Below are 24,735 nucleotides of genomic sequence, written 5' to 3' on the forward strand. Positions count from 1 at the left end.
TGCCTCTCCCACCAATGTGAGCTTCCACCCAGCACTGCCTGAGCACGGCCCTGTGGTCACAGAAATGCCCAGACATGGCCCTGGCCTTGGGGGGCCCACAGTCTGGTAGGCGAGATAAACACCTACACCAGGGTTTGGGAGCGAGGACCAGGGTTGGGGAAGCACTGAGCCAGGCCTGGGACCCACCCTTGGCAGCGGGGGATGAGCTGGAGTTCACCAGGTGATGGAAGTTGGGAAGGGGGTCTTAAGGACTGGAGAGGGCTGGGAGGAGATGCAGACCCAGGGCAAGATCTCAGCAATGCAGAGAAACCTGAGGCCTCACAGGGAAGGCTGTGACTGTAGGCAGAGAGGGGTTCCTGTGGAGATCGGCAGCTGAGTCTGCCATGCAGAAGGCGGAGCCACGCACAGATCCATGCGGACGACACGATAGCTGGAAGGAGGGGCTCCAGGGAGTTTTCCTTTCGCCCAACGTGTCTTTCAATAAGGTTTAGATTTTTATAATGAGCCCCTATTAATCTGGTGACCTAAACACTCATAATAGTCAAAAAATGGAGACAACCAAAATGTTCATCAGCTGGTGAATGGATAACCTAAATATGGCCCATCTATCCAGGGGAACATTATTTAGCCACGAGAAGGAATGACGTGCTATCACCTGCTACGGCGGAGGCTGACCTTGAAAATGGGACGCTAGGTGAAAGGAAACAGACACGAAGGCCACGTGGTGCATGATTCTCTTCCCACGAAGGGCCCAGAGCAGACAGACCCACAGGGACGGAAAGTGGACCGCCGGATGTCAGTTACCCCAGAGCGTGGAGGGAACAGACAGGGACTGTCTAAAGGGCCTAAAGGGGACAGTGTTCCTTTTTAGGACGATGAAAACGTTCTGAAATTAGTGGTGATGGTGGCACAACATTGTGAAGGCACTAAAAGCCACAAATTGTGCACTTTAACGTGGCTCAAATGGTGAATTTTACATCATGTGAATTTTGCCTCAATTTTTTTTTTTTAAAGGGCAGATGACCCAGCACAGTACCTGTGTCCCCGGGCCCACAGACCATATTTTCTAAGCCAAATGACAAGCGCAATAAAGTGGTGGAAATAAACCAGGCTGTAAGTTCAAAAGCAGCGCCCAGGCCCACCCTGCCTGCATGACCACTCATCCTTCCAGCTGTTTCCCACACAAACAGGAAACCTGAACTCTGGCCCGAGGGGGAACCAAAGTGGCTCTGCGGCTCATCCATATTCATTCATTCACTGACCATTCATCCGATCAGTACATATTTTATGACTGCTTTCCGTGTGCCCATGTTTCTGGTGAAATATATAGAAGTTCCTGCTCTTATGGTGCTTACTGTGGAAGGGGAAGACAGACAGGGAGTGTTCTGGTGAAATGCGTGGAAATTCCTGCTTTTACGATGCCCACTGTGGAAGGGGAAGATAGGGAGCAGATGCATGCTTGTCAGATGGTGGTGACCACAAAGCAGGAGATGGAGGTGGCAGAGAATGTCTGGCGGTGCAGTCTCCCCTGGAGCCAGCTGTGCCTGGAGGCCAAAGGACAGGCCATGGAAGAGACACTGTGGAATCAGGGCTCAGAAGCAGGTCTTATGGCAACAGCTCAGAGGGTCATGTGTGCAAAGCCTCCAGGCCTTGCTCCTTTTCCAGCCCATCTCTGACACTGACCGCTCCCCACTCCAACCACACTCAACTCCCTCCAGTCTTTCTAACCTCTCCCCCAAGCCCCTTTGTTTCCCCTGCCTGGAGCTTACTCTCTTGCTTTCTGTCTCTGCCCTCTGCTTGACGACTCCTATCCAGTGATATGGCTTGGCTCTGTGTCCTCACCCAAATCTCATCTCAAATTGTAAACCCCATGTGTTGAGGGAGGGACCTAGTAGGAGGTGATTAGATCATGGGGGAGGTTCCCCCATGCTGTTCTGGTGATAGTGAGGGAGTTCTCATGAGATCTGATGGTTTGAAAGTGGGAGTTTACCCTGCTCTCCCTCTGTCTCTCTCTCTCTGTCTCTCTTTCTCTCCTACAGCCATGTTAGATGTGCCTTCTTCCCCTTCTCCTTCTGCCATGATTGTAAGTTTCCTGAGGCCTCCCCAGCCATGCAGAACTATGAGTCAATTAAACCTCTTTCCTTTATAAGTTACCCAGTCTCAGGTAGTACCTTTAACAGCAGTGTGAGAACAGACTAATACACCCATTCTTCATGCTTCAGCTCAGACATGGCCTCCTCCAGGAAACCTTCCCCAAATGCACTGCCAATCCCCTCCCCAACACCTGCCTGGGTCCCTCCCCTGGGGTCCCAGAACCCCCATGTGCCCTGCCACTGATGTGTCCTGAGTTGACAAGCTCCACCGCACAGGAGGCCTGCCTCACTCGCCTGAGTACCAGTTACAGCTTCCTGCAGGCCTCTGCAAATACGGAGCTCACATTAATGCGTGGAACTTGCAATATATTAAGGAACATAATGTTTATGGTCCTCTATAAAGGGTAAATGTTCATAATACACCTGAAAATTTAATTCAGATAGAGCTCATTAAGGCAAAAATAAAAATCTTTCACAAAATTACTCGGAAACAGTATCCATTTTCTATTCACTGAGTGTCTGCCATACTCAGGATCCTGGAATACAAACTGCAAGGTAATCTTATAAGGTCAAAGGCAAAAACTGTAAGCAAAACCTTTCATGGGCTAGCTCTTGCTCTTCCCCTCTCATACACACACACACACATACACACACACACACATACACACACACACACACACACCCTGAAGATACCTCGGACAGCAGCAGCTGGGTTCCAGGTCACCAAGGGAGTTCGTGGAGCAGATGATGAAAGACCTTTGTTTGTTCTGACCAAGTGCTTATGGAAACCAGGAGGCAGATCTGTGTGCTGACAGGGACGGGCACGGAGAAGTCGTGATTTCCCATGAGGCTCTGGAGGAAGGACGAGCACCGGGATGAGCTGAAGGCATGAACACCCTGCATGCTTCCCGGTGATAAAACATCTCCCTGGGGCCAGAAGGCATTCTACTGCAGATGGCACCTTCTCCTGTCACTTCCAAAGATGCAGTGACTTCCGGCATACAGACACAATTCCTAACAGGGGAACCTCCAAATGAACATGTCAAACGCTTTTTTAAAAACTTTCTTGTTTTTCCCTACTAGAGATGTTTTAGGTATGCCTTAGAGATATTTGGTGAAAGAGATAAAAACAAAAAATAAGTCAACCTTCCCAGTGTTTTGTGTGCTTTCAACAAAATTGAGATAATAACATTTCTGGGGGGTTTTGACTTTGCATTAAAAGATTTCCCCAAAGCATCATCTTTGTAGCAGTGATTGCTAACAACTGCATCATTGTCCCACTCATCATTGCATAGCTACCTCCTAACACTGTCCCTGATACCCACAGTAGGCATTCAATAAAAATGTGCTGAACAAATGTGAAAAGGCCACTATTTCATGGAGTGAATATATCATTTCCTCATCCATTTCCAGGCAGTTGGACATTCAGATTGTTTCTAAGAACGCACTATTATAAATCATAGCACGATAAATCCCGCAATTGGTTATATCTGTGTCTCAGTGACCAACCAAGAACCCCCAGAGCGGCTAGTACCAGTCAGTTTTCAAAGGTGTGAATATTTTTCAGGCTCTGATGCGCCTGTCAGCAGACGTTTTTTTGAAGCCCATATCTGCATCGGTTTGAAGGCGGGAAGTTATGTAAATATTCCTTTATCCCAAACCCAACAACCAAGGTAGCCAGAATTTACATTTTGTTTTGCAAAAGCGAGCACATTCTTCTTTAGGAATAACATTTCCTTGACTTTTATGCTCAATATGAAATACGCACTTTTATAAACCCAAGAGAACTGACTCTGAAGTGAATTGTGTTTTAATAACAGGGACTTGTGCTGGAAACAAAAGGACAGAAGGAAAGGGGAAAGGAAATTTACAATTTACTTCTTATAAGCAGAAAGAATAAAAGTGAGAAACTCCAGGAAATGTAGTTTTTCTGAATGAAGGATGCCCTGAGTAAATGCAGTGGCAGTAAACTCCAGGCTGCCCAGCGCTCTGTGAGCGCTAGCCCTAAAAGGCACTTGTGAAATTCCCCATCTGTGTGCACCACCATATAAATAGGAGAGAGTCAGAAGTTCAAGTGCTTGGTCCAATTATCTCATTCTGCAATGATCTAATAAAGGGCAATTAAGTGTTGAAGATGCTAGACCATTAAGCTGTGTTGTGACAATAACCAGCTTTAAATATTAGCTACCCCGCAGTAAGCAAATTTTATTGGGCTCTACTAGAGATGCCAAGTTAGAGGTGGCTTTTACTTGATAGGTTTATGCCCTCGTGAATGTATTTGGCCTTTAAATTGTGCGCCTGTGTCTAACAGGACGCAGGTGATACTTCTAGGCATGATGACAACCAGGTGTTGATAGAGAAAACATTGGGCTCATGAAAGAGGCTGCTCTGTATGGTGGGGAGTGTGGGTGTGCAGCACTGAGAATCGGGGAGCCTGGACTCAGTGTCCTGTGGCTGCCTTCCCATTGACGTCTCTCTAGGCCTCAGATTCCTGTTCTGTTCAATGAGGATGTTAGATTGGATGGTCTCTGGGCACCTTCCATTTCTTTGGAAAATAGCAACCAATTATAAGAGGTAACATTACCTACTGACTGTCTTTATGTGTCAGGTGCTATTTGGTCAGCTCTATAGGGATTAACCCTGACTTCCGGCCCCCATCCTTGCTTGACTTCCTATCCCCGCAGGCTGACTCTACCTTCTGGTATTTGCTCAATCCACCACCAGACTTTTTTGAACCCCTTTCTTATGTTCAGCTGACCACTTCATAAAGTTGCTAGAAGAATCAAAGTGTTCAGGTTTTGTGAATCTTGAAACACTAGACAGTTTTAACAACTTTAATCCATGTGTCTGAGCAGTGCCTCCCGTGTCTCACTGTGGGCGTGTGTGCAGCAGCTCTGCATAGAGCGGGCATGAAGCAAGTGCCTCTGGGGCCCCGCCCGCCCTGGGTGGGTCTGCTCATCACCCTCTGGCTCTCTCCAGAGCCGGATCCCCCTCCATGAGTGAACATATGTGTTACAGTTTACAGTGTTGCACTCAACTCCAGTGTGCGTCTCCCCTGGGAGCACGTGAGCACCATGAAGGCAGGGACCATGCTTAGATTCACCTCTGCTGTCCATGATGCCCAGCATGGGCCTGGCAGGTACTCCTCAAAATGTTGAAAGACATAAGTGGAAGAAGAGTGCTGGGAAGCGGAGAGGCAAAGGGGTAACGGGATAAAGAAGGAAAGAAGGGAGGGACAGTCCCGGCCAGGAGTGCACAAACGCCTCGTGCATAAATGAGCAAACAGTTCAGGTCCAGCTGGCAAAGCTCACATGAAAGTGGGAGAGCCTAAATCTGTCCCAGTGAGACTAGGATGAAAGAGCCATGTCCCGGATCCTGCAGGTCACTGGAATCCAACTCTGTCAGGCCCAGCTGAAAAGGAACTCGCCAAGACTGGGGCTGAGCTGAAAACAGCCCCTGCAAAGAGTCCCTGCAGACTCAAAGTCCAGGCTACTTGGCTGGTGTGTTCCCATGACCTCAGGGGTTTGTATTCAGGGCAAAGGAAAGAGAACCAAGAGGCGGCCCCCAAACACTGATGCACAGTGCAAGGGACACCTAGTAAGTATCAGTTAGGGAATCTAGGAGTGGTGTTGGTTTCCCATGTAGAAGAACACATCTTTGCATTTGAACAGAGTTTTATGGTTTGCAAAAACTTTTCACTGTCAGTTTCTCAGGTGCGAAGATAAAGTGATTTACCAGGATTCTCATGTCACAGAAGAGACAAAGGAAGTCTAAAAACACAGAGCAATTTTCCCCAAGGTCATGCAGCCCTGGCGAGGCTGAGCTGAACTAGAAACCTGCCCTCTGCCCTTCTAGACTGCCATGTTTCCACGCTCCAAACACAGGCTCTGCGCGGCTGTTTTCCTCCTGTCCTTCCACACACTAGCCATCAGCAGCCCTTGTGATGTCTGACGGGGAGGCCCACTCCACCCTCTCTGCAGGGGGATCCCTCTCGTTCAGCTCTGCCTCCTCCAGGAAGGCTTCTGAGGAGCCTAAGGTTTGCACACCCCTCCCTCCCATCTTCCCCGTGGATCCAGGCTCTCCTTTAGGCTTTGACACAGAAATCACCACCCCGGGGTGTCACTGTCTCATTCAATGTCACTTCCTCCTTCTATTCATTGATTCCAGAAAATCAGCAGAGCACACAGAGAAGGGGAAGCCGAGGCTGGAAAGGGGAGCCAAATTGTGCAAGCCACGCAGAAGGGCAGAGGAGAAGACAGGCAATGTCACCAGCTCAGTATTTACGGAGAGTTGTCACCTGACCCCAAAATGCTAAGCTCTTCCCAACGCCCCCCCGCCCCCCACCCCTGCCAACTGTCTCTAATTTCCGTGCAATGTTTGGCCTCTTGCCCCCCTCTCAGCTGAGGAAGGCAGGTGTAACTCACTAACCTGCCAGGTGTAAACCCACTGGCTGGCTATCTTCACAGGCAGGTGAACCATGCACACAGTTCTTGGCTGAATGCCCCACAGAGCAGAAGCGTGTCGCATTTCTACTCTGGCACACTCTTTCCTTGGCCCATTTATGGAGCACGCACATGAGTAGCGAGGCTGGGCTCCGTAAAGAATCCAGCCATCAAAGAGGGAGGCAGGCAGCGGACAGCTTGCCTGGTGCTGTCCTGGTGCCCAAGTCCTGAACCTGAGGTGACCAGGTGATCATCTACCTGGAGAAGGAAGGCATCAGACTGTGGTGGGAACATTACAGTGTTTGTTTGTTTTGGAGCCTGGCTGGAGTGCCGTGGCTCCATCACAGTTCACTGCAGCCTCGACCTCCCAGGCTCAATTGATCCTCCCGCCTCAGCCTCCTGAGTAGCTGCAACTACAGGTGCATGCAACCACGCCCAGCTAATTTTTATTTTTTAATTTTTTATAGAGATGGAGTCCCCCTGCCTTGCTCAGGCTGGTCTTGAACTCTTGGGCTCAGGCAATTCTCTTACCTCAGCCTCCCAAAGTGCTGAGATAACAGGTGTGAGTCACTGCACCCACATTACAGTATTAAAAAAGCAAGAGAGCTGGATTTCAATCCCAGATCAGCAGAAATAGAAGGCATCTTTTTTGAACTTCAGTTTCCTTCTGCACAGAGGAGAATATTACTAGTTAGCTTCACAAATTGTTACAGGGTTTAAATGAGATAGTGCATTTATAATGGTGGTGCAGCTCCTGGCATACAGCAGCCACTCAATAAATGGCGGAAACCATATTATCATTAATATTAAAGACCGTCATTTTCTCTCTGCCTTATAATTTTTGTAAACAAATTTCTCCTCAGAAGAGTTGCTCCCAGCACCAGGGATCAGGACCCTGACACCAGAGCCCTGGACGGGAGCCTGGTGTTGTCTTGTGCATCCTAAGCAATCCTAACAAGCCTCCTCTCTGCCTCTGGATCTTTTCTTCCATGTCATATCTTAGCTGCCCTCGTCTCTCACAGAGGGTGGAAGAAGGATCAGATGCTGGGATGCATGTGAAAACACTTTGTCAAGAGTGCTTTTGAATATTAGCTTCATGGAACACAAGCGCAATGTTTGCTCACTACCACCCCACTTAGAAACTCTGGAAGGCTCCCTACTGATTCTGGGAAAAGATCCAAGGTCCCGAGTCTGCCACTCACAGAACTTTGGGATGGGGATTTTCCTACTTCTCCAGCCTCTATGAATGGCAGCTCCTGCCTCCACCTCCCGTCCCTACTCCCATATTCCCCATCTGCTGTGGGGCTGACCCCTGACTCTGGGCTTTCCCAGCACACACTGGTACACACCAGACTCCACGCCAGTTACCTGCTCAGGTGGCTGGAGTCCCTGAGGGCTGGAGCTATGTGGCTCATCCCCATGTCCCTGACACCAGCACTCGGCCAGCACAGACCCTCTAATGTCTGCTACTAAGTGAGCTGGGGGTTAGGGGCGTACTCAGCAGGAGTTGTTTTGACTACGGTCGTGCCTCCCTGCGGAGCTCGGGTGCCCATGGGAAATGGGCTAGGCATAGCAAGGTCCCCTCTGGCCCAGACCCCCTTGAAGGACACTGTTCCCAAGACCTGCACTGACGCACCCCTGGGAGGCATGGGAGTGAGCCAGGGATAGTGAAGTCCCCTCCAAGATAGAATAAAAGCCAATGTGGGGGTCCTGGTGACAAGACTGTTGGGGAGAGGAGTGGGAGGAGGAGGTCAGGAGAGGACGAGACAGGAAGAGGAGAGGGAAGGAAGAGATGACAGAGAGGAGAGCAGAAGCAGGAAGAGAGAGAAGGGTGTCTGTGAGCGAGAATCACCTCCCTACTCTTTTCTTCTAAAACTGGAGCAGCAGCGTGGTGTAGGGTTAAGGACACAGGCTTAGACATCTTCCCACTCCAACACAGCCCCTGGCAATTCACTTCGCCTCCCTGCACCTCGGTCTCCTCATCTGTAAGAAGGGGTGAGCAGCTCACTGGATGGCTGTAGAGAGTAGACGGCTGCATGGTAAGGCGAGGTGGACAGTGTTTGGCGGCGACACAGGAGTCACGGCTGCTCTGAAACTCCACGACCACCCACACACATTGGTCCTTTCCAGGTCCTCGCTGTTGTTGTTCTCTTCCTGCTCAGACAGCATTGCCTGCAGATTCCTCTGCAAGCTTCCTCATATTGGAAAACTCAGCACAGAGTTTAGCATTTTAAATAAATCAAACTCCACTCCTCCACAAAAGGACTTTGTGTGGCTTGTCATCCCTGCAGGAGAAGCTCCAGGCTCGCTGGTCTGGCTCAAGAGTCCTCTGCCGTCTGGCCCCTGTCTACCTTTTCTCTGTGTCCTGCCACTCCTCCCTGCACCCTCCTCCCGGCCCCACTTAACTCCTGGCATGTTCTTCACCCATGCTTTTTCCTCAGCTCCAAACCACCTGCCCCAGGCCAGCTACAGGCCCTGCACACTTGCCATAGCCAGGCTGGAGCACAAGCCTCCCTTCCATGTGTGTCTGGCTGTCCTGGCCCGTGAGCTCCTGAAGCCTAGAACGAGGGTTTACTTGTAAATAACAATAGCAACAACAATAATGATGGCATTTATCATAAAAATGCCAACAGCTATTATTGTGTACTCACTATCATGGGCCAGGAACCAGGCAAAGTGTCTTTCTATAGCCTGAGATGCAGCCTGGTATAGGCTTAAGTGCATACACGTGACCCTAAACTGCCTGGGTTCAAATCCCAGCTCCCTACACTTCTGGCTGGGTGACCCCAAGCAAGTTACTTAGCAGCTCTGTGCTTCAGTTTCTCCAGCTGTAAAACATGGTTAATAGTGCGCAGATACAGTTGTCATGAAGGCTAAATGAGTTAAAATATGGAAACTGCTTAGAACAGCACTTGGCACACAGGAAGCTCTAGGTTCATAATTACTGCAGTTAACATGGCCTTATTTTTTCTTCTACAGGAGGAGCAGTTCTCACAGGTCAGTAAAGGAAAACCCACATGAGCAATGGTGCCACTGCCACTCCTGGAAGGCTGCCCTGGCCTCTGTAAACCAGGGGATGCAGTTCGACATGGACGCAGACAGAGTCAGGGAGCTGGAACTGAGCCAAGGTCCTTGGAGGGCTACGCCCCCAGTAACAGGGGGAATTAGAAGATAGAGAGGAAGTTTGTCCTGGCTTGAGTTCTAGGTGAAGAGAAAAAAGCCATCCTTAAGAAGATGTAACCATAGCCCTATATCTCATGGGAATTTGGGGTTGAACTCCCTTGAGCCTGTGATATATTTGGGGCTGATGCTGAAACACACAGGATTCCTATAGATAAATCCCCAGGGCTGGGTGTGGTGGCTCATGACTGTGATCCCAGCACTTTGGGAGGTCAAGGCAGGCGGATAACGAGGTCAGGAGTTCGAGGCCAGCCTGGCCAACATAGTGAAACCCCGTCTGTACTAAAAATACAAAAATTAGCTGGGTGTGGTGGCGGGCGCCTATAGTCCCAGCTACTCGGGAGGCTGAGGCAGGAGAATCACTTGAACCCGGGAGGTGGAGGCTGCAGTGAGCCGAGATTGCGCCATTGCACTCCAGGCTGGGCGACAGAGGGAGACTCCGTCTAAAAAAAAAAAAAAAAAAAAAAAAAAGCCCCAGAGGCCAACATTACAAAACGCCCAAGAAAACAATCCTTTATGAATGAAGACATAAGATGTATTTGTCAGGAAGGTTAAGTTCCCCCAAGAACATCAAATAGTAGAACTATTGAATAGAGACCATAAAGTGGATTCTTAACATAATTAAGGTAATGTCTAACTAACTTGGATACGGCACTTATGATGGGACAGTACAACTCTAAGAGCTTTATCTATATGGATTTATTTAACCTTAAAATAATTTTAGGTTATTTTGGTAGGTAGGTGGAAGGAACCCACTTTGGTAGTAGTTGGAACTCCCACTTTAAAGATGATGAAACTAAAGTACAGAAAGATCACACGGCCTGGATTTAATCCCCAACAGTCTGGCTACAGAGTCTTCATGCTGCAGGAAAAAAAAAAAATGAGCTTCAGGATTTATCTAATGAAATTACCTAGAATATAGCTTAGAAAGACAGAAAGAGGATGGGTGCGGTGGCTCATGCCTGTAATCCCAGCACTTTGGGAGGCCGAGGCGGGTGGATCACCTGAAGTCAGGAGTTGGAGACCAGCCTGGTCAACATGGTGAAACCCTGTCTCTACTGCAAATACAAAAATTATCCAGTCGTGGTGGCGGGCGCCTCTAATCCCAGCTACTCAGGAGGCTGATGCAGGAGAATTGCTTGAACCCAGGAGGTGAAGGCTGCAGTGAGCCGAGATCGCACCACTGCACTCCAGCCTGGGCAACAATGGCAAGACGCCATCTCAAAAAAAAAAAAAAAAAAAAAGAAAGACAGACAGAGTTAGACATAAGTTAGATATAGAGGTTATGAGCCACAGAGGAAAAAATTGAGTCAGTCTAAAACTTAACATGAGTTTCAGAAGGAAAGAAAAGACAAGGGGTTGAAGGTGTAATATTCAAATATATAACAGAATTTTTCAGAAATGCTGAAAGATACAAATTCTCAGATTCAGAAATCATGAACCCCAGGTAGGATAGATAAAAATGAATATATGTCTTATAGCAGAACTCCAGAATCACAAAGACAAATAGAAGATGCTAAAAGCAATCAGAGAGAGAGAAATTGATTACCTAAAAGTACATGGCAGTTACAGCAATAACAGGCGTCTTCATGAAAGCCAGAAGACAGTGGAATAGCATTGTCATACCACCAAGAAGAAATAATAGAGAATCTAGAATTCTATATGAAGCTAAATGATCACCTAACCATAAAAAAAAAATAATGACATTCTCAGGCAAAGACTGAGAGGTTTTTACTGCTAAATGCCTTGCTAAAAGAATACTAGTAAGGAATGTGCTCCAGGGAGAACTAAACTAAACTCAAAAGAAAAAAAAATACAAGAAAGAACGGCAACTAAAGAAACTGGTAAATCTAAAAAAGTATTAACTATATAAAATAATAATAGTGGCTCATGTGAAAAGTATAAAAATAGAGTGAAAATATATTCCTGGGAAACATAAAAGATGCAAGGGGAGGTATGAAAATTAAAGCCTTCTTAGGATTCTCTGTGCGTGAGGAAGTTAGAGATGCCAAGCCAAGAATGCACTTTGAAACGTTAAAGGGTAGCCACTAAAATAATGGAAATATAATGTACACCTAGGGTGAAAAGTAGAATAAAGAAAACTTAATCAGTTTCATACAAAGCAAGAAAAGTGAAAAATCAGAAGCATAGCAAAGGCAGGGTAAACAGTAAGCACACAGTAAGATGACGGATAAATATACATATATTTGTCAGCTATAATGTATATATTATGATATACATATATCAGTTATCATAATCATTATAATGGACTAAACTTTCCATTTAAAAGACAAGGATTGTTGTAAGCTTAAAAAATTTAAAATACAGCTATATGCTGTTAACAGAGACATACTAAAAATATAAAGACAGAGAAGGATTGACTGTAAAATAATGGGAAAAGGTGTACCAAGCAAATACTAGCCCAAGAAACTCAGAATAACCATATTGACATTAAACAAAATAGACTCAAAATCGCAAAACATTATTAAAGATAACAAAGGTTACTACCTAATTGTAAAACAAAGATTCATGGTATAATAGAAAAATACTAGACTGCACTAAATATTAATAATATAGCCTCAAAATGTATAAGGCAAAACTAAGAAAATTAGAAACAGAATCGCCATAGTTGGGTATTTAAACACATCTTCCTCAGAACTTGACAGATCAAGCAAACAAATGTACCAATGAGGAATCAAAGAAAATTTGAAGACCACAATGAACAAGTTTCATGTAATGGACGTATATATAAAGTCTGAAACATTAGTATAATAGCCAAATACGTAATATTTTCAAACATACATGGAACATTGCCAAATGCAGTTATAATCTTGGAAATAGAGCAAGCCTTGACAAGTAAAAAAAATGGAAATTATATGAACCATATTCTCTGGTTACGATGGAATTAAAACATAAATAATAAGAACAAAATACAGAAAATCCCACATATTAAGAATTTGAAAGTATCCTTCTAAATGACTCATGGATCAAAGGGACCATAACAGGAATTAGGAGAATCATAGAGTCTTTGTCACCAAGGGGCTCTCTCTTCAATAACCTCCTCCAACAAGTTAACAATGACAATGTCCTAAGTAGGCCCCAAGGATCCAAGGGTCACAGCGGGAGGGGCCCTCTGATCTAAGGAGGTGGCCTTAGGATGGGGAAAGACAAGCCTTCCCAGCATTGAATAAGAAACAATATTAGGGTGGTTTTGTAATCAGTTTACTAGGTCCCTTGAACAGGCCATTTTTTTTTCTCCCTGGGCCTCAGTTTCCTCAAATGAGATGGATGAGCTGATTAATCTCCAAGTCTCAGATAACCTTTTTTATATTTAATTTGAACCTGTCCTCAGTTTTAATTCTACTTAATATCACACTAATCAAGACAAATTCTTCTCTCCCATTTCAAAATCTATCAAACTCCTTTCATAATGTGATGTCAGTTTTTTTTCTTTTCTTTTTTTTTTTTATCATTTAAGACAAATGATGTGTCTTTTCCACCTTTGCTTTCCCCTAATCCTCCCAAGTTTGCTGCTGTGACAGATGGCGTCTCCATCAAATAGCTTGCCTTCCTCTGCCTGCTCATGCTTCTCTGCTTTTTTGATTTATGAAAGAAATGGGGGCAGGGCTCAGTGGCTCATGCCTGTAATCCCAGCACTTTGGGAGGCCAAGGCAGGGGGATCACCCGAGGTCAGGAGTTCAAGACCAGCCTGGCCAACATGGTGAAACCCCATCTCTACCAAAAATACAAAAAATTAGCTGGGTGTTGGCGGGCACCTATGTAATCCCAGCTACTCCAGAGGCTGAGGCAGGAGAATCGCTTGAACCTGGGAGGCAGAGGTTGCAGTGAGCCGAGATCGCGCCATTGCACTCCAGCATGGGCAACAAGACTGAAACTCTGTCTCAAAAAAAAAGAAAGAAAGAAAGAAAGAAATGGAATATACCAGTCACCACCTGCCCATCAGCCATTATCCACAACCAGGCAACATCCTCTGTCACTGTCCCCTCTCCATTAGTTTCCCATCTCTTTCAATCTTTTCTCCACAGGGATCCAAAATGGTCTCCCTAAACTACAAGAAGTCCTTCTCTATTTGAAACTCCCCCTTGGCTTTGAGGGCACCATGGGGTCAAATATCAACAGCAGCCAGGTGAGAGCCCAGTGTGCTCACTGACGGCTGCTCCAGCAGAGCCTCGACATTGATCCTTTTCTTCTGGACATCTAGACTATGGAAAACTCTGCTCTGCTGTTCAGAGGCTTTCTCATTCCATTTCCTACTCCCCACCCTGCACAGCTTTGGAATGTGGCAAACGTCTGGAGGAGAAACCCACCCTGGCCTTTGAAGCCCCTGAAGTCTCTAATTTGTCTCTCCATCCCCATCAATGGTCATTGCACTGAACCAGGCCTGGATCCTCAGCCCTGTCCCCTGTCCCCAGACTGCAGAAAACCCCAGCAGGAGAGCAGCACTGACTCTCAGAAGATCTCCCCTCTCCAGGATTTGGCTCCTTTAGTCTTCACTGCTTCAGCAGTGATAAGAGACCACCAACCATGCAGTGGTTCTGGCCAGTCTACCGACAACATGCAGAAAGGGTTTTTGCATCCTCTGCCCCACTTTTTGATGTCAGACGGCTGAAAACACCCTCGGATCATGCTAATGCTGCCATTTTTGAACGTGGGTCCCATGGAAAAGCATGAAGCTCAGTTGCACATGTGCGTGTTTCTCCCTTCATAAATATTCATGACTCCTCCCATAGCTAATTAAATATGTATATTTGGCCACCCAACTCAGCATAAATTTCTGTTCTCTTTGTCCCTCACTGGAAGTGTCTGTTTCTGGCTTCTGGCCAGAGGTTATGCTCCCTAGCCTGCCAGAATGGCCACCCTGCAGGCTGCAATCCTTTATGGGAAATAAAGCCCTCCTTTCCAAATGTATGAACCTCATCATTCAGTTGACACACTTGATAGAAATCTTCCTTCTTATTTGTAATTCATTATACTATTATGGTTTTCCTAGAATTCTGCAATTCTCACTGACAGAAAGAACCCAGGTGCCCTTCCCCCAGGCCCTGATCTGCAGCCTGAATCCCACCATATCAGATGCCTTAATGGCTTGGCAGAGTTGGCCTGAATATAGTATTCCTGGTGACAGTGAAGTCCTCGCCTCAACATTTTGCTATGTGGATAACATCTGTGGAAGCTGAAGTGCCTGGTAAGTAATCAGGGCCTCAAAAATGTCATTTCCTGCCAGTGAAGGACTGTTTGCAAAGCTGGTTGCAAGAATCCCTCCCACCTCTGTGTGCACATTCATTTGTAATGTGACTCCCCTGCCCCTCCCAGCTAGAGGTGGAGTCTGGTTCTCCACACCCTGGACTGGCCTTGCCACATGCTTAGACCAATAGAAAGATGCAGAAGTGACGCCGTGGGAGATTTGAGCCTGGGCCTCAGGAGACCTTGAAGCTCCTGCTCTCTCTTTTGGAACCATGCCTTTAGACCACCATATGCAGAAACCTGAGCTAGTTTCTGGAGGCTGAGAGGATACTTGGAGCAGAAATGAGCATTCTAGCTGAAAAAACAGTCAACTGATGCCTAGCACCAATGGCCAGACACAAAGCCCTCCTAGACTACTCAGCCCCAGTAGAACTATCTGATGAATGACCCAAGTGAGACCAGCTGAAAACCACCCTGCAGAGCCAATCTACATCTAATGTGTATACATGAATATATAAAATGGTTGTGACTTTAAGCCAGTGAGCTTTAGGGTGGTTTATTACTCAATCATATCTAATTTATCTTCTTTCTTCTAATTAATAAAATGTTCTGATAATGATGATGATGATTTACATTAATTGGGTGCTTCCTTTGTGCCAGAGTCTATGCTGAGTGTTTTATAAGTTTAAAGCTCTTGTCATTCTGACAACAACACTGCGAGTTAAGTACTATCATTGTCCCTATTTGCTCACAAGGAAATTGAGACCCCAAGAGATGAGGCAACTTGGCTACAGTTGCAGAGCTTGCCAGCAGCAGAGCTGAGACCGGAACTCTGGCATGCTGGTTCTGGTTCCTGCACCCGTTGCTACTCCTTACATTGCTTCTCTCTTATTCTACCATCTCATCCCCCAACTTCCCACACCCTCATCTCTCATCCTCCTAACTATTCCCTGGTACCTGTGTAAGACGATAGGTAGAGAGAAACTAACATCTATTTGTTAAGTATTCATTTGTCCAATAACATTTCCTCATGCCTGCAGTGTGCCCAATACTTTTCTAGAAATTAAGGGCACCAATTTCTACAACACAGAAGACACGGCTTCTGCTCTTAAGAGTCTAAACTCAGGCCCAGCACACGCTAAACAGTCCAAACACATTCTCTCCTATTTTCCTCACTGCAGCCTTGTCCCCATTGTACGGAGGAGGCTGAGGGGAATAAACTCACTCAAGGTCACACAGGGATTGGAACTAAGGTTGGCCTGGCGCCAGGCCAAGGCTTTTTCCAATTTACAATGGGACTCCTCCTCCTCTCACTTTCACTAGGTACTCCTTGGGGCGGTAGGTTCCAAGTCTTCTCTAAATGAAATACCCCATTTCCTTTCTTTGTCTTTCTTGGGTTTTGGTTTCAGTCCCAAAAGCGCCTCCAATTATCAATGTTTATTTTTTAAAAGTGGCTTTCAGCTCAATTGTGCATGCATTTGTGGAATGCCAGGCATCTACCAGACACTGGAGAAAGGGTTGCTCCTGGAGGAATCTCAGTCCCAGCTGCCTAAGGAAGCTTTAGGGAGAGGTAGCAGTTGATTTGAAATCATCAGAGGTGTGGGGTGGGTTACAAATGGACTGAAAAGGCCTCCTTTCCTACATACACAACCCCAGGTAGCAGTAACAATCAACGCCAGACAAATCAATAGCAGCATCCACAGTGCCAATCTGGTTTGCTTAGAGCTAAGATCAGGAGCAGGGTGGTCTGGGCACAGTCCAAGGGCTTGGGGGTCATACAGGACCCAAAGGGGTTTGATTCTGGCTTTGCTGATCCCTGTATGACTTGGCAAGTGACTTGTCTGCTCCAAGTTTCAGTTTCAACATCTGTGAAATGGGAGGCAATATCAGTTTCTTGGCATCATTTAGAAATTCAATGTGACAGCATGTGTGAAAAGACCTTGGAAAATGCCCAGCACAAAGTAAGTAGTGGGGATGAGGGAGGGAGGCTTAAATAATTTTACTGAAATAATAATAACATCAAATATTTAGTGAAAACTTGCTCTATGCCAGGCCCTGTTCTAAGCACTTTACATATTTAGTTTGTTTACTCCTACAAGAGTATAAAAAAGGTGCTGCTCTTATCCCCATTTTATTTAGGAAGAAATGGAGGCACAAAGGGATTAAGAACTTGCCCACAGCTTGAGAGACTATTCCAGAATCCATTATCTTAACCAACATGCTATCCTGTCCCTATAAAATAGCATGTCAATACTGCATGTTGAATGAGAAATGCTTTAAATATCATCACATACAGTATGATCTCGTTTTTCAAAAAGCCTGGATGCGTAAGGATAAATGTCAAAATGTTGAAAATGAACATCTCTTACTGGTGGAATTCCATGTGTTTTTGTCACTTTATTTTTTTAATTTTCCAAATTCACTCAAATACGTATATATTAATTTTTATAAGCAGAAAAATGTTGTTTAAAATATGTTTCTTTCTCTCTGCTGTGCCAGGCTTGGTTAGGCACTAGGCATATATGAAAGGATATTTGATTATCCTAGTGTTCCAGGCAGGATCTTGGAAAACTTCTAGCCTGAGCCAGAATCGATGCTCAATAAACATTTGGCCTCGTTCCTCACAGAAGCGGCAGCTGTTTCCGTGATGCTACGTGTCCGTTAGGCACCCGCAGTAGGCTTCTTCTTAAAGTGATCACATCTTTTCTAAAACTGTTCTGAACACAACAGAACCGAACAGTATCTTCATGGTTCTGTTTCTTTGCATTCACTTTGAAGCTAAGCCCCTGAGTTTTCCCAGGGGTTCACATTTGGAATAGCCACATTTAATTTTTAGATTTTACTGGCTATGCACCTTTGCACTGATGTCCAAGCACCAGGGGTGAACTCTGGGACAGCCTGAAGGTCCGAATTCCAGGGAGCTGGGGGATCAGAGGAAAACCAGCCTCTCCCCTTCACCCCAACTGTGTGATCTTGGGAAGATTCCCAGACCTCACTGTGCCTCAGTTTCCTTATCTGCAAAATGGGTATCCTCTTTCTTGTTCCTCTCTCCTCACAGCTGTGAGAATCAAACAAGAGCACACATCAAGAGACGCTTTACAAACTGTGAATTCCTATCTGAGAGGCAGGAAGTACTTTTGAGTGTCTCGGCTATGAAGCCTCTAACACACCCAAGACGTAGAAGTCAGAACAAGGACAGGAAATTGAGAACCTGACAATACTCCCTTATCAGCTCCAGAAATCACACTCAATTAGCAAGCACTGCCCTGTGTAAGATTAGACTCATCGGACTTCATCTTATTTCCTTAAACGACGAATTCCTTTTGAGAGTGAAGATAAACCCCCTACAGCTATCTAGATACAAAGATGGATGCTGACAGGGCATGGCCAGACAGTGGGGGCCAAAGGTCTCCCTCAAGCAGTCCTTGCTTACCTGTCATGTTACAGCTGGGCAGTCCCACAACAGGCTCTTTGGGAGGCCTCTGGCAGCCCCCATCTGAACCCTGTCTCTCTTGCCACATGTCTCTGACATACAGAGACAAATAGACACACAAAGCCCTGGCGAGGAAGTCACAATACCTGCGCTCTGGGCATCGAGCTTCCCTGGCCTCCTGGTTCCTCCCTCCCCATGGAGAGTCATAGTGGACAGTCTCTAAGCTCCCTTCTTCTCTCAAAGGCTGGGCTCTCAGCTTCTCCTGGCTTTCCCTGGGGAATTCCTCCCTCAGCCCCTCCATGAAGGCTGGAGGCCCCTTCTTGCCCCTCAGTCCTCTGCAGGGGAATGACTTGTTTATACGGCTCATGACTCTGTCTCATTCTCTCTCTCCTTCATTCTCTGCCCCCCAGGAGTTCTCCCACTATCCTGTGCTCCCTGGCACCTTGGAGACACTAGGTGAAACTATGTGGAATGAAATGATCGATGAGACAAATAGAAGGAGTGAGCGAGGGGGCAGCCCTCAGAGAGAAAACATGGTCCAGAGTCACATGGCCCACTCTTCACTATAGCTGGTGATCACAAGCCACACCTTGGTTCATACCTCGGAGAACCTTCTGGAAGCTCCAGTGGAGGAAGCAGCACCCCCCACGCCTGGCCTGTGCTGGGATGGAGGATAAAGATTTAGCTTGGTACCCACATGAACCAGATGCACCCACGCCCTTAAGGAGCAGGCAGCCTGCTGGGAGACAGGCAGGGACAAGGAAACAGAAGAGGGCAGCTGGGACAGGGCTCAGCGGCACGGTGGGAAATGGAAGCTGGCAGTTCAGAGGCCTGGGGCGGAGGGGTCTGGGAAGACTTCCCCGGGAAAGGGAGATCAGAGAGGAGAGGACTAACACTTCCAAGCAGCAAAGATGGATGAGCCAGCCTGCTGCCTGATTGACTTAGTCCTTACCAAAGTCTATTCCACACGGAAAGAAACTGAGGCACAGGGCCACCAAGACACCTGCTCCAGGTCTTGTAGCTGGTAAGTGGCATGGTTGGAATTCACACCAAGGCTCCACGCCTGTCCCCACATTTCCAAAATGATTCTCCACAGGCCAGTGGCTCTAGCACTGGAGCGTGCATGGGGAGGTGCCTTGGGCTGAGGGTTTTGCGGCCCTTCCTGGGAGGAGGAAGCTCCAGGTCCTCCGAGCCCCCCAGTCCCCTCTGCATGAAATAAGCTGAAGCAGCAGGAGAGGGTTTCCCTTAGTAAGCAGCATTCGGATTTGACTGCCTGGCACCGGCATGACATCTTAATCAATCTTCCCACAGGGCTATTCACGATTCAGCTTGGTACCCACATTCCCGGGGGACCCCACAGCTGCTAGAACCCAGGCCCTGGCTGAGGCCACATCTCAGGGGACTCACTTCATTTTCTTCTGTGTCTTATCCTGCATTTAAGTAGCCCGGCCAGAGTGCCAGCACCCGGGAGAGGGGAAACCTCCGATTTCATTGACAAACATGGCTCGTGAATGTGAGCCTGGCACCTGCAGATCGGAGACCCACATGGGATCTAACAAGCAAAATGAGTCGCAGGGCCCTGTGGAGTCGGGGCAGTGGGATCTCTTCCAAGGCCTTCACCTTGGAGAGGAGGAAACAGAGGCCCCAAAGGGTGAGGCCTGCCCAAGGAGGTGCAGATCAGACTTGCCCCGGCCCCTGCCTCCTAACCATCAACCTCCTTGTTGCCATCTCAGTTGCTTCTATTAATCATTTGAAGGAAACCTGCATTTTTCTTGACCAGCTGGCAGGCTGGGCCCTGGGCTGGGCTGGACCCTGGGCCGGGGCATCTGCCCTCTGTGTTTTCTCACACTCGGCTGCCCTGCTGGCTGTTGTTCTGCCCTCTTGGCCCCAGTTTCATCCATTCTCTGGCCCCAGGAGGCTGACCCCAAGGATGACGTCCCTGGCTCCCTCGGCCTCTGACTTCCAGCTGGGCTCAGCCAATGGGAGGCACAAGGAGAAGGCTGGAGAAAGGGAGGAGAGAAGGCTCTAGAACTTACTCTCCACCCCATCAGGAGTAGGTCTGGCAGAGGCCAGGCTCCTCTATGGCAGACCCCGGCTCTAGCTCTCCCAGCCTCCAGGAGCGGCAGCGCCCTCTCCCCGCCCTCTGAACCTAGGGTGGTCACTGCTTCCCACGCTTGCCACCCTGTTCACCCCTTGTCCTGCCCCTGAGCAGGACACACCCTCTGCTTCCCAGGAGTGCACAGTCAGCTGCAGAAGGAGCTCCCAGGGTGGGAGGACGGCAGCCAGGCTGGGGCTTGAGGGGGCCTGGAAAGGACTGGCAGGAGGGTTTAGTGCCTTCTTCACAAACCCAAAACCCCTAGACCTTCAATGCACCCCCTGTGCTGAATATGATAAAAGATGTGTATAGAAAGTAAAAGTTCCTCTTCAAAGTTTCCCTTCTCGTTAAAGAATAAATCGTAAGTGTTAGAAATAATAGTTTCTTTTAAAGACTAACTTCATGCTAGACATGCTCACAGGCATGTAGAACATTCTATGTCCTTGTACTTTAACCAAGATGTCCAAGCTGGACATGCTCACAGGCATGTCCCAGCTTGCAGCCTATGCCCCTCCCTTATTTGGGAATGTTATTACTTTCCTAAGTCCTTTCATAAGCAACTTCCTCTTTTCCTTTGTCTTTCTATTGCCTTTACCTATTTAGAAAAGTTTTAAACTGTTAGCCAATCGGGTTTCAGTTTAGATTGTGCGGTCTGGCTCCAGCCAATGGAGACAGGACACAGTAGCAGGGACAAACTGCATAAGGAATAAAAATTGCTTCCCTCCTTTGTTCGGATGTGCTCTCGCCATTATTACATCTGCGATGAGCACCCTTTCTGCAGAAAGTAAAGATTGCCTTGCTGAGAGAATTAAATTTATGTTCAAGTGCTATTTCTTTGTGGCACTACAGAAGATACATTTACATATAACAACGTGGGAGGTGATAACACACATGGTGCTCTTGGCCAGTGCCCTTGGAGAGACCACCATTTCAATAAAGATGACAGCCAGGGAAGGTCACAGGCTTGGCCTGCACCCCATCAGAATTCCCACCGACTCACTCATGGAACCTATTTAAGATGAAAGGTGGAATATTCTGAACAGTAATGTATTATTTTATTCTTTTTATTATTTGAACAAATAGACTCCCTCAGTCACCTCTTTCCTGCTGAGACCCCATTCATGAGATGAGGAAGCTGAGCTGTGTGACCTCCAAGAATGAAGCTGAGCTGTGTGACCTCCAAGAATGGCCTCCCTTCCTTACTGACCCCAATTTGAGCAGTTGGAGAGTTTTATATCAAGCCCCCAGCAGGGTTGCAGATTTGTTAAGAAGAACTCAATGCCCTTGGCCCTGGAAGAGGCAAATGCTCTTAGATGAGGTGGCTGATGAGAAAGGAAGTTTACCATAGGAGGAAAAGACCTCAATAATTGTGATGCTTGGGGCACCTTGGGGAAAAAGAATGCAGCCTCCAGAAATAATTCTGGCAACCAGGCGACCTGTCCATGCAGCCACGTGCAGAATGCAAGCTCAAGCAACGGATGGGAAAACAACCCCTGAGAGGCTAGGGAGCCCCTTCAAATCACCGACTGGTGAGAGGCAGAGGCAGCTCCCGCACTGCAGCCCCGAGGGCCTCCCACACTCACAGCCCTTCCTTTTGCTGCCTCTGAGGTCTTTTTCACCCCCACTGGAGCCCTGGATGTGGCCTCATCCAGGCTGTAGCCTAACACTCTTCCAAGTCCCAGAGATGGAAGGAAACCCCAGGATACCGGCTGGATCGTCCCCCTGGGAGCCCCTGATAAAATCAGGACTGCTTTATCTACTTTCAGTTTCAAAAAACTAAACTTAGAAAGTCTAAAAGTGGGAGCTGTCAGCCCAGCCCCCAGGGTCCCTGCCAGCCTCTGCACGAGATCAGACGCATCCAGATGCAGGCACCTCTTCCAGGCACTCCTCACTTCCAGGAGGGTCTGTCCCCTATGTGCGCCCACAGGATCTTGTCAGTACCTCTACCTCCATGGTCAATTTGGGATGAATCCACCAATGAACCTGCTTTTCTCTCCCACAGGTCTGTGACAACCCATGGGGTTGGGGACACTTCTCTCTGTGACCCCAGCAAGAGGCACAGAGCAGGCAGTTAGTAAATGCTGGAGACTGAGAGAGCAAGGCTCATACAGCACATAAGCTTTGCAGGTGCGAAAATTCAATTAACTGAGGAACTGAAGAGGGGGCAACGGGAAGTGCTGCTAGGAGTCTTCCAGCAGGTAAGTGATGAAAGAATGGTATTATAGGACACCTCGAATTCGTAACTAATGAGTTCATGATCTAGGTATTGGGCATTAGGGATGCTAACATCACAGAAAGAGAGATAGCCAGGGCTGGGCGTGGTGGCTTACGCCTGTAATATCCACACTTTGGGAGGCCGAGGTGGGTGGGTCACCTGAGGTCAGGAGATCGAAACCAGCCTGACCAACATGGTGAAACCCCGCTTCTACTAAAAATACAAAAGGCCGGATGTGGTGGCTCACGCCTGTAATCCCAGCACTTTGGGAGGCCGAGGCAGGCGGATCACGAGGTCAGCAGATCCAGACAATCCTGGCCAACATAGTGAAATCCCGTCTCTAATAAAATACAAAAAATTAGCCGGGTGTGGTGCCATGCACCTGTAGTCCCAGCTACTCAGGAGGCTGAAGTAGGGGAATTGCTTGAACCGGGAGGCAGAGGTTGCAGTGAGCTGAGATTGTGCCACTGCACTCCAGCCTGGTGACAAAGTGAGACACCATCTCCAAAAAAAAAAAAAAAAAATTAGCCAGGCGTGGTGGTGGACACCTGTATTCCCAGCTACTCGGGAGGCTGAGGCAGGAGAATCACTTGAACTTGGGATGCAGAGGTTGCAGTGAGCCAAGATTGCACCATTGCACTTCAGCCTGGGCAACAGAGTGAGACTCCATCTCAAAAAAAAAAAAAAAAAAATAGAGAAAGAGAGGCAGCCAGACATTTGCCCCTGATGGAAGAACTTAACACCACCTTTAAAGGAGTTTTGAAAATAAAACCATTGAATCTGGATAAAATCAAAGCTCTGGAGCCAATGGCCAATTCAAGGACAGACAGCAGAGGGGAGAGCACAGCAAACACCACAGCAGGGACACAGCAGCAAGACCCCCGCCCTGCGCCCGTGAAAAACTGTAGCACAGTGACCTGGTTTCCTCAACAGCATGTTGCAAGAAAATAAAAAGAGAAGGAGGCAGAAGCTATAGATGAAAAGACTTTAAAGACACACCACCAGGGTTCACAGATTGATGAGTGAACAAACAAGATGTGCTTCTTCCAGACAAGGGAAGATTATTCACCCTCAAAAGAAGGAAATGCCGGCCCACGCTCCAACACGGATGAACCTCAAAGACACTGTCCTAAGTGAAACAAGCCAGTTGCTCACAAGACGACAAACATTGTGTGATTCCGTTCAGATCAGGTCCCTAGAGTAGCCGGACTTATAGAGACAGAAAGTGGATTGGTGGCTGTCAGGAGCTGGGGGAGATGAGAATGAAGAGTTACTGTTTAATGGGAACAGAGTTTCACTTTGGGAAGATGAGAAGGGTTCTGTGGGTGGATGGTGGTGATGGTTGAATAACAATGTAAATAAATGTATTTAAAGGTTAAAATGGGAATGTAAATAAATGTACTTAAAGGTTAAAATGGGCTGGGCCCAGTGGCTCACGTCTGTAATCCCAGCACTGTGGGAAGCCAAGGCAGGTGGATCATCTGAGGTCAGGAGTTTGAGACTAGCCTGGTCAACATGGTGAAACCCCATCTCTACTAAAAATACAGAACAACTAACCGGGCATGGTGGCGGGTGCCTGTAATCCCAGCTATTCCAGAGGCTGAGGCAGGAGAATCACTTGAACCTGGGAGGCAGAAGTTGCAGTGAGCCAAGATCGCGCCATTGCACTCCAGCCTGGGCAACAAGAGTGAAACTCCATCTCAAAAAAAAAAAAAAAAAGGTTAAAATGTAAATAAAATGCAAATTTTATAGGTTGGTGCAAAAGTTGGCGCAAAAAATTGTATAGGTTGGTGCTACTTTTAAATAGCAAAAACTGCAATTATTTTTGCACCAACCTATACGTTCTGTATATTTTATCACAAAGAAAGACAATCACAGTGCGAAGACCTTATTAACATTCTGATTCAAACAAACTGCAAATATTTTTTAAACTATAAAACTGACAGGCCACTTAGACATTTGAACACTGATTGGATATTTGATGAAGTGAAGGAGTCGTCATTTGTTTGAGGTGTGATGGAGCTGGTATCGTGACTGTTTAAAAGATGAATTAAATGATATGATATCTAGCT

At 47.2% G+C, this 24,735-nt stretch overlaps 1 protein-coding gene across 4 annotated transcripts in view, besides 2 other annotated features; it reads right to left on the reverse strand.

The window, feature by feature from the left end:
• The window catches only part of C4orf50 (chromosome 4 open reading frame 50), a 120,960-nt gene that overhangs the window by 28,038 nt on the left and 68,187 nt on the right, over window positions 1-24,735 (reverse strand). For 3 of the 4 annotated variants that reach the window (XM_017008893.2, XM_047415667.1, XM_047415663.1), the window contains one exon: window positions 2,787-2,945. The exons of the other annotated variant lie outside the window; for it this stretch is intronic. The gene's annotated coding sequence lies outside the window, so the exon portion shown is untranslated. The remainder of the gene's footprint in view (window positions 1-2,786; window positions 2,946-24,735) is intronic. 4 annotated transcript variants of the gene reach the window in all.
• Window positions 5,589-6,089: an enhancer, noted in NCBI's record as "H3K4me1 hESC enhancer chr4:5932940-5933440 (GRCh37/hg19 assembly coordinates)". NCBI's record gives its function as "activates a minimal SCP1, AML or CMV promoter by ChIP-STARR-seq in naive H9 embryonic stem cells {active_cell/tissue: H9 hESC(naive)}" and the evidence as "EXISTENCE:reporter gene assay evidence [ECO:0000049][PMID:30033119]".
• Window positions 19,831-20,331: an enhancer, noted in NCBI's record as "H3K4me1 hESC enhancer chr4:5947182-5947682 (GRCh37/hg19 assembly coordinates)". NCBI's record gives its function as "activates a minimal SCP1, AML or CMV promoter by ChIP-STARR-seq in naive H9 embryonic stem cells {active_cell/tissue: H9 hESC(naive)}" and the evidence as "EXISTENCE:reporter gene assay evidence [ECO:0000049][PMID:30033119]".

Source organism: Homo sapiens, chromosome 4 (assembly GCF_000001405.40).
Source record: "Homo sapiens chromosome 4, GRCh38.p14 Primary Assembly".
In the NCBI taxonomy this organism is placed as follows: domain Eukaryota; kingdom Metazoa; phylum Chordata; class Mammalia; order Primates; family Hominidae; genus Homo; species Homo sapiens.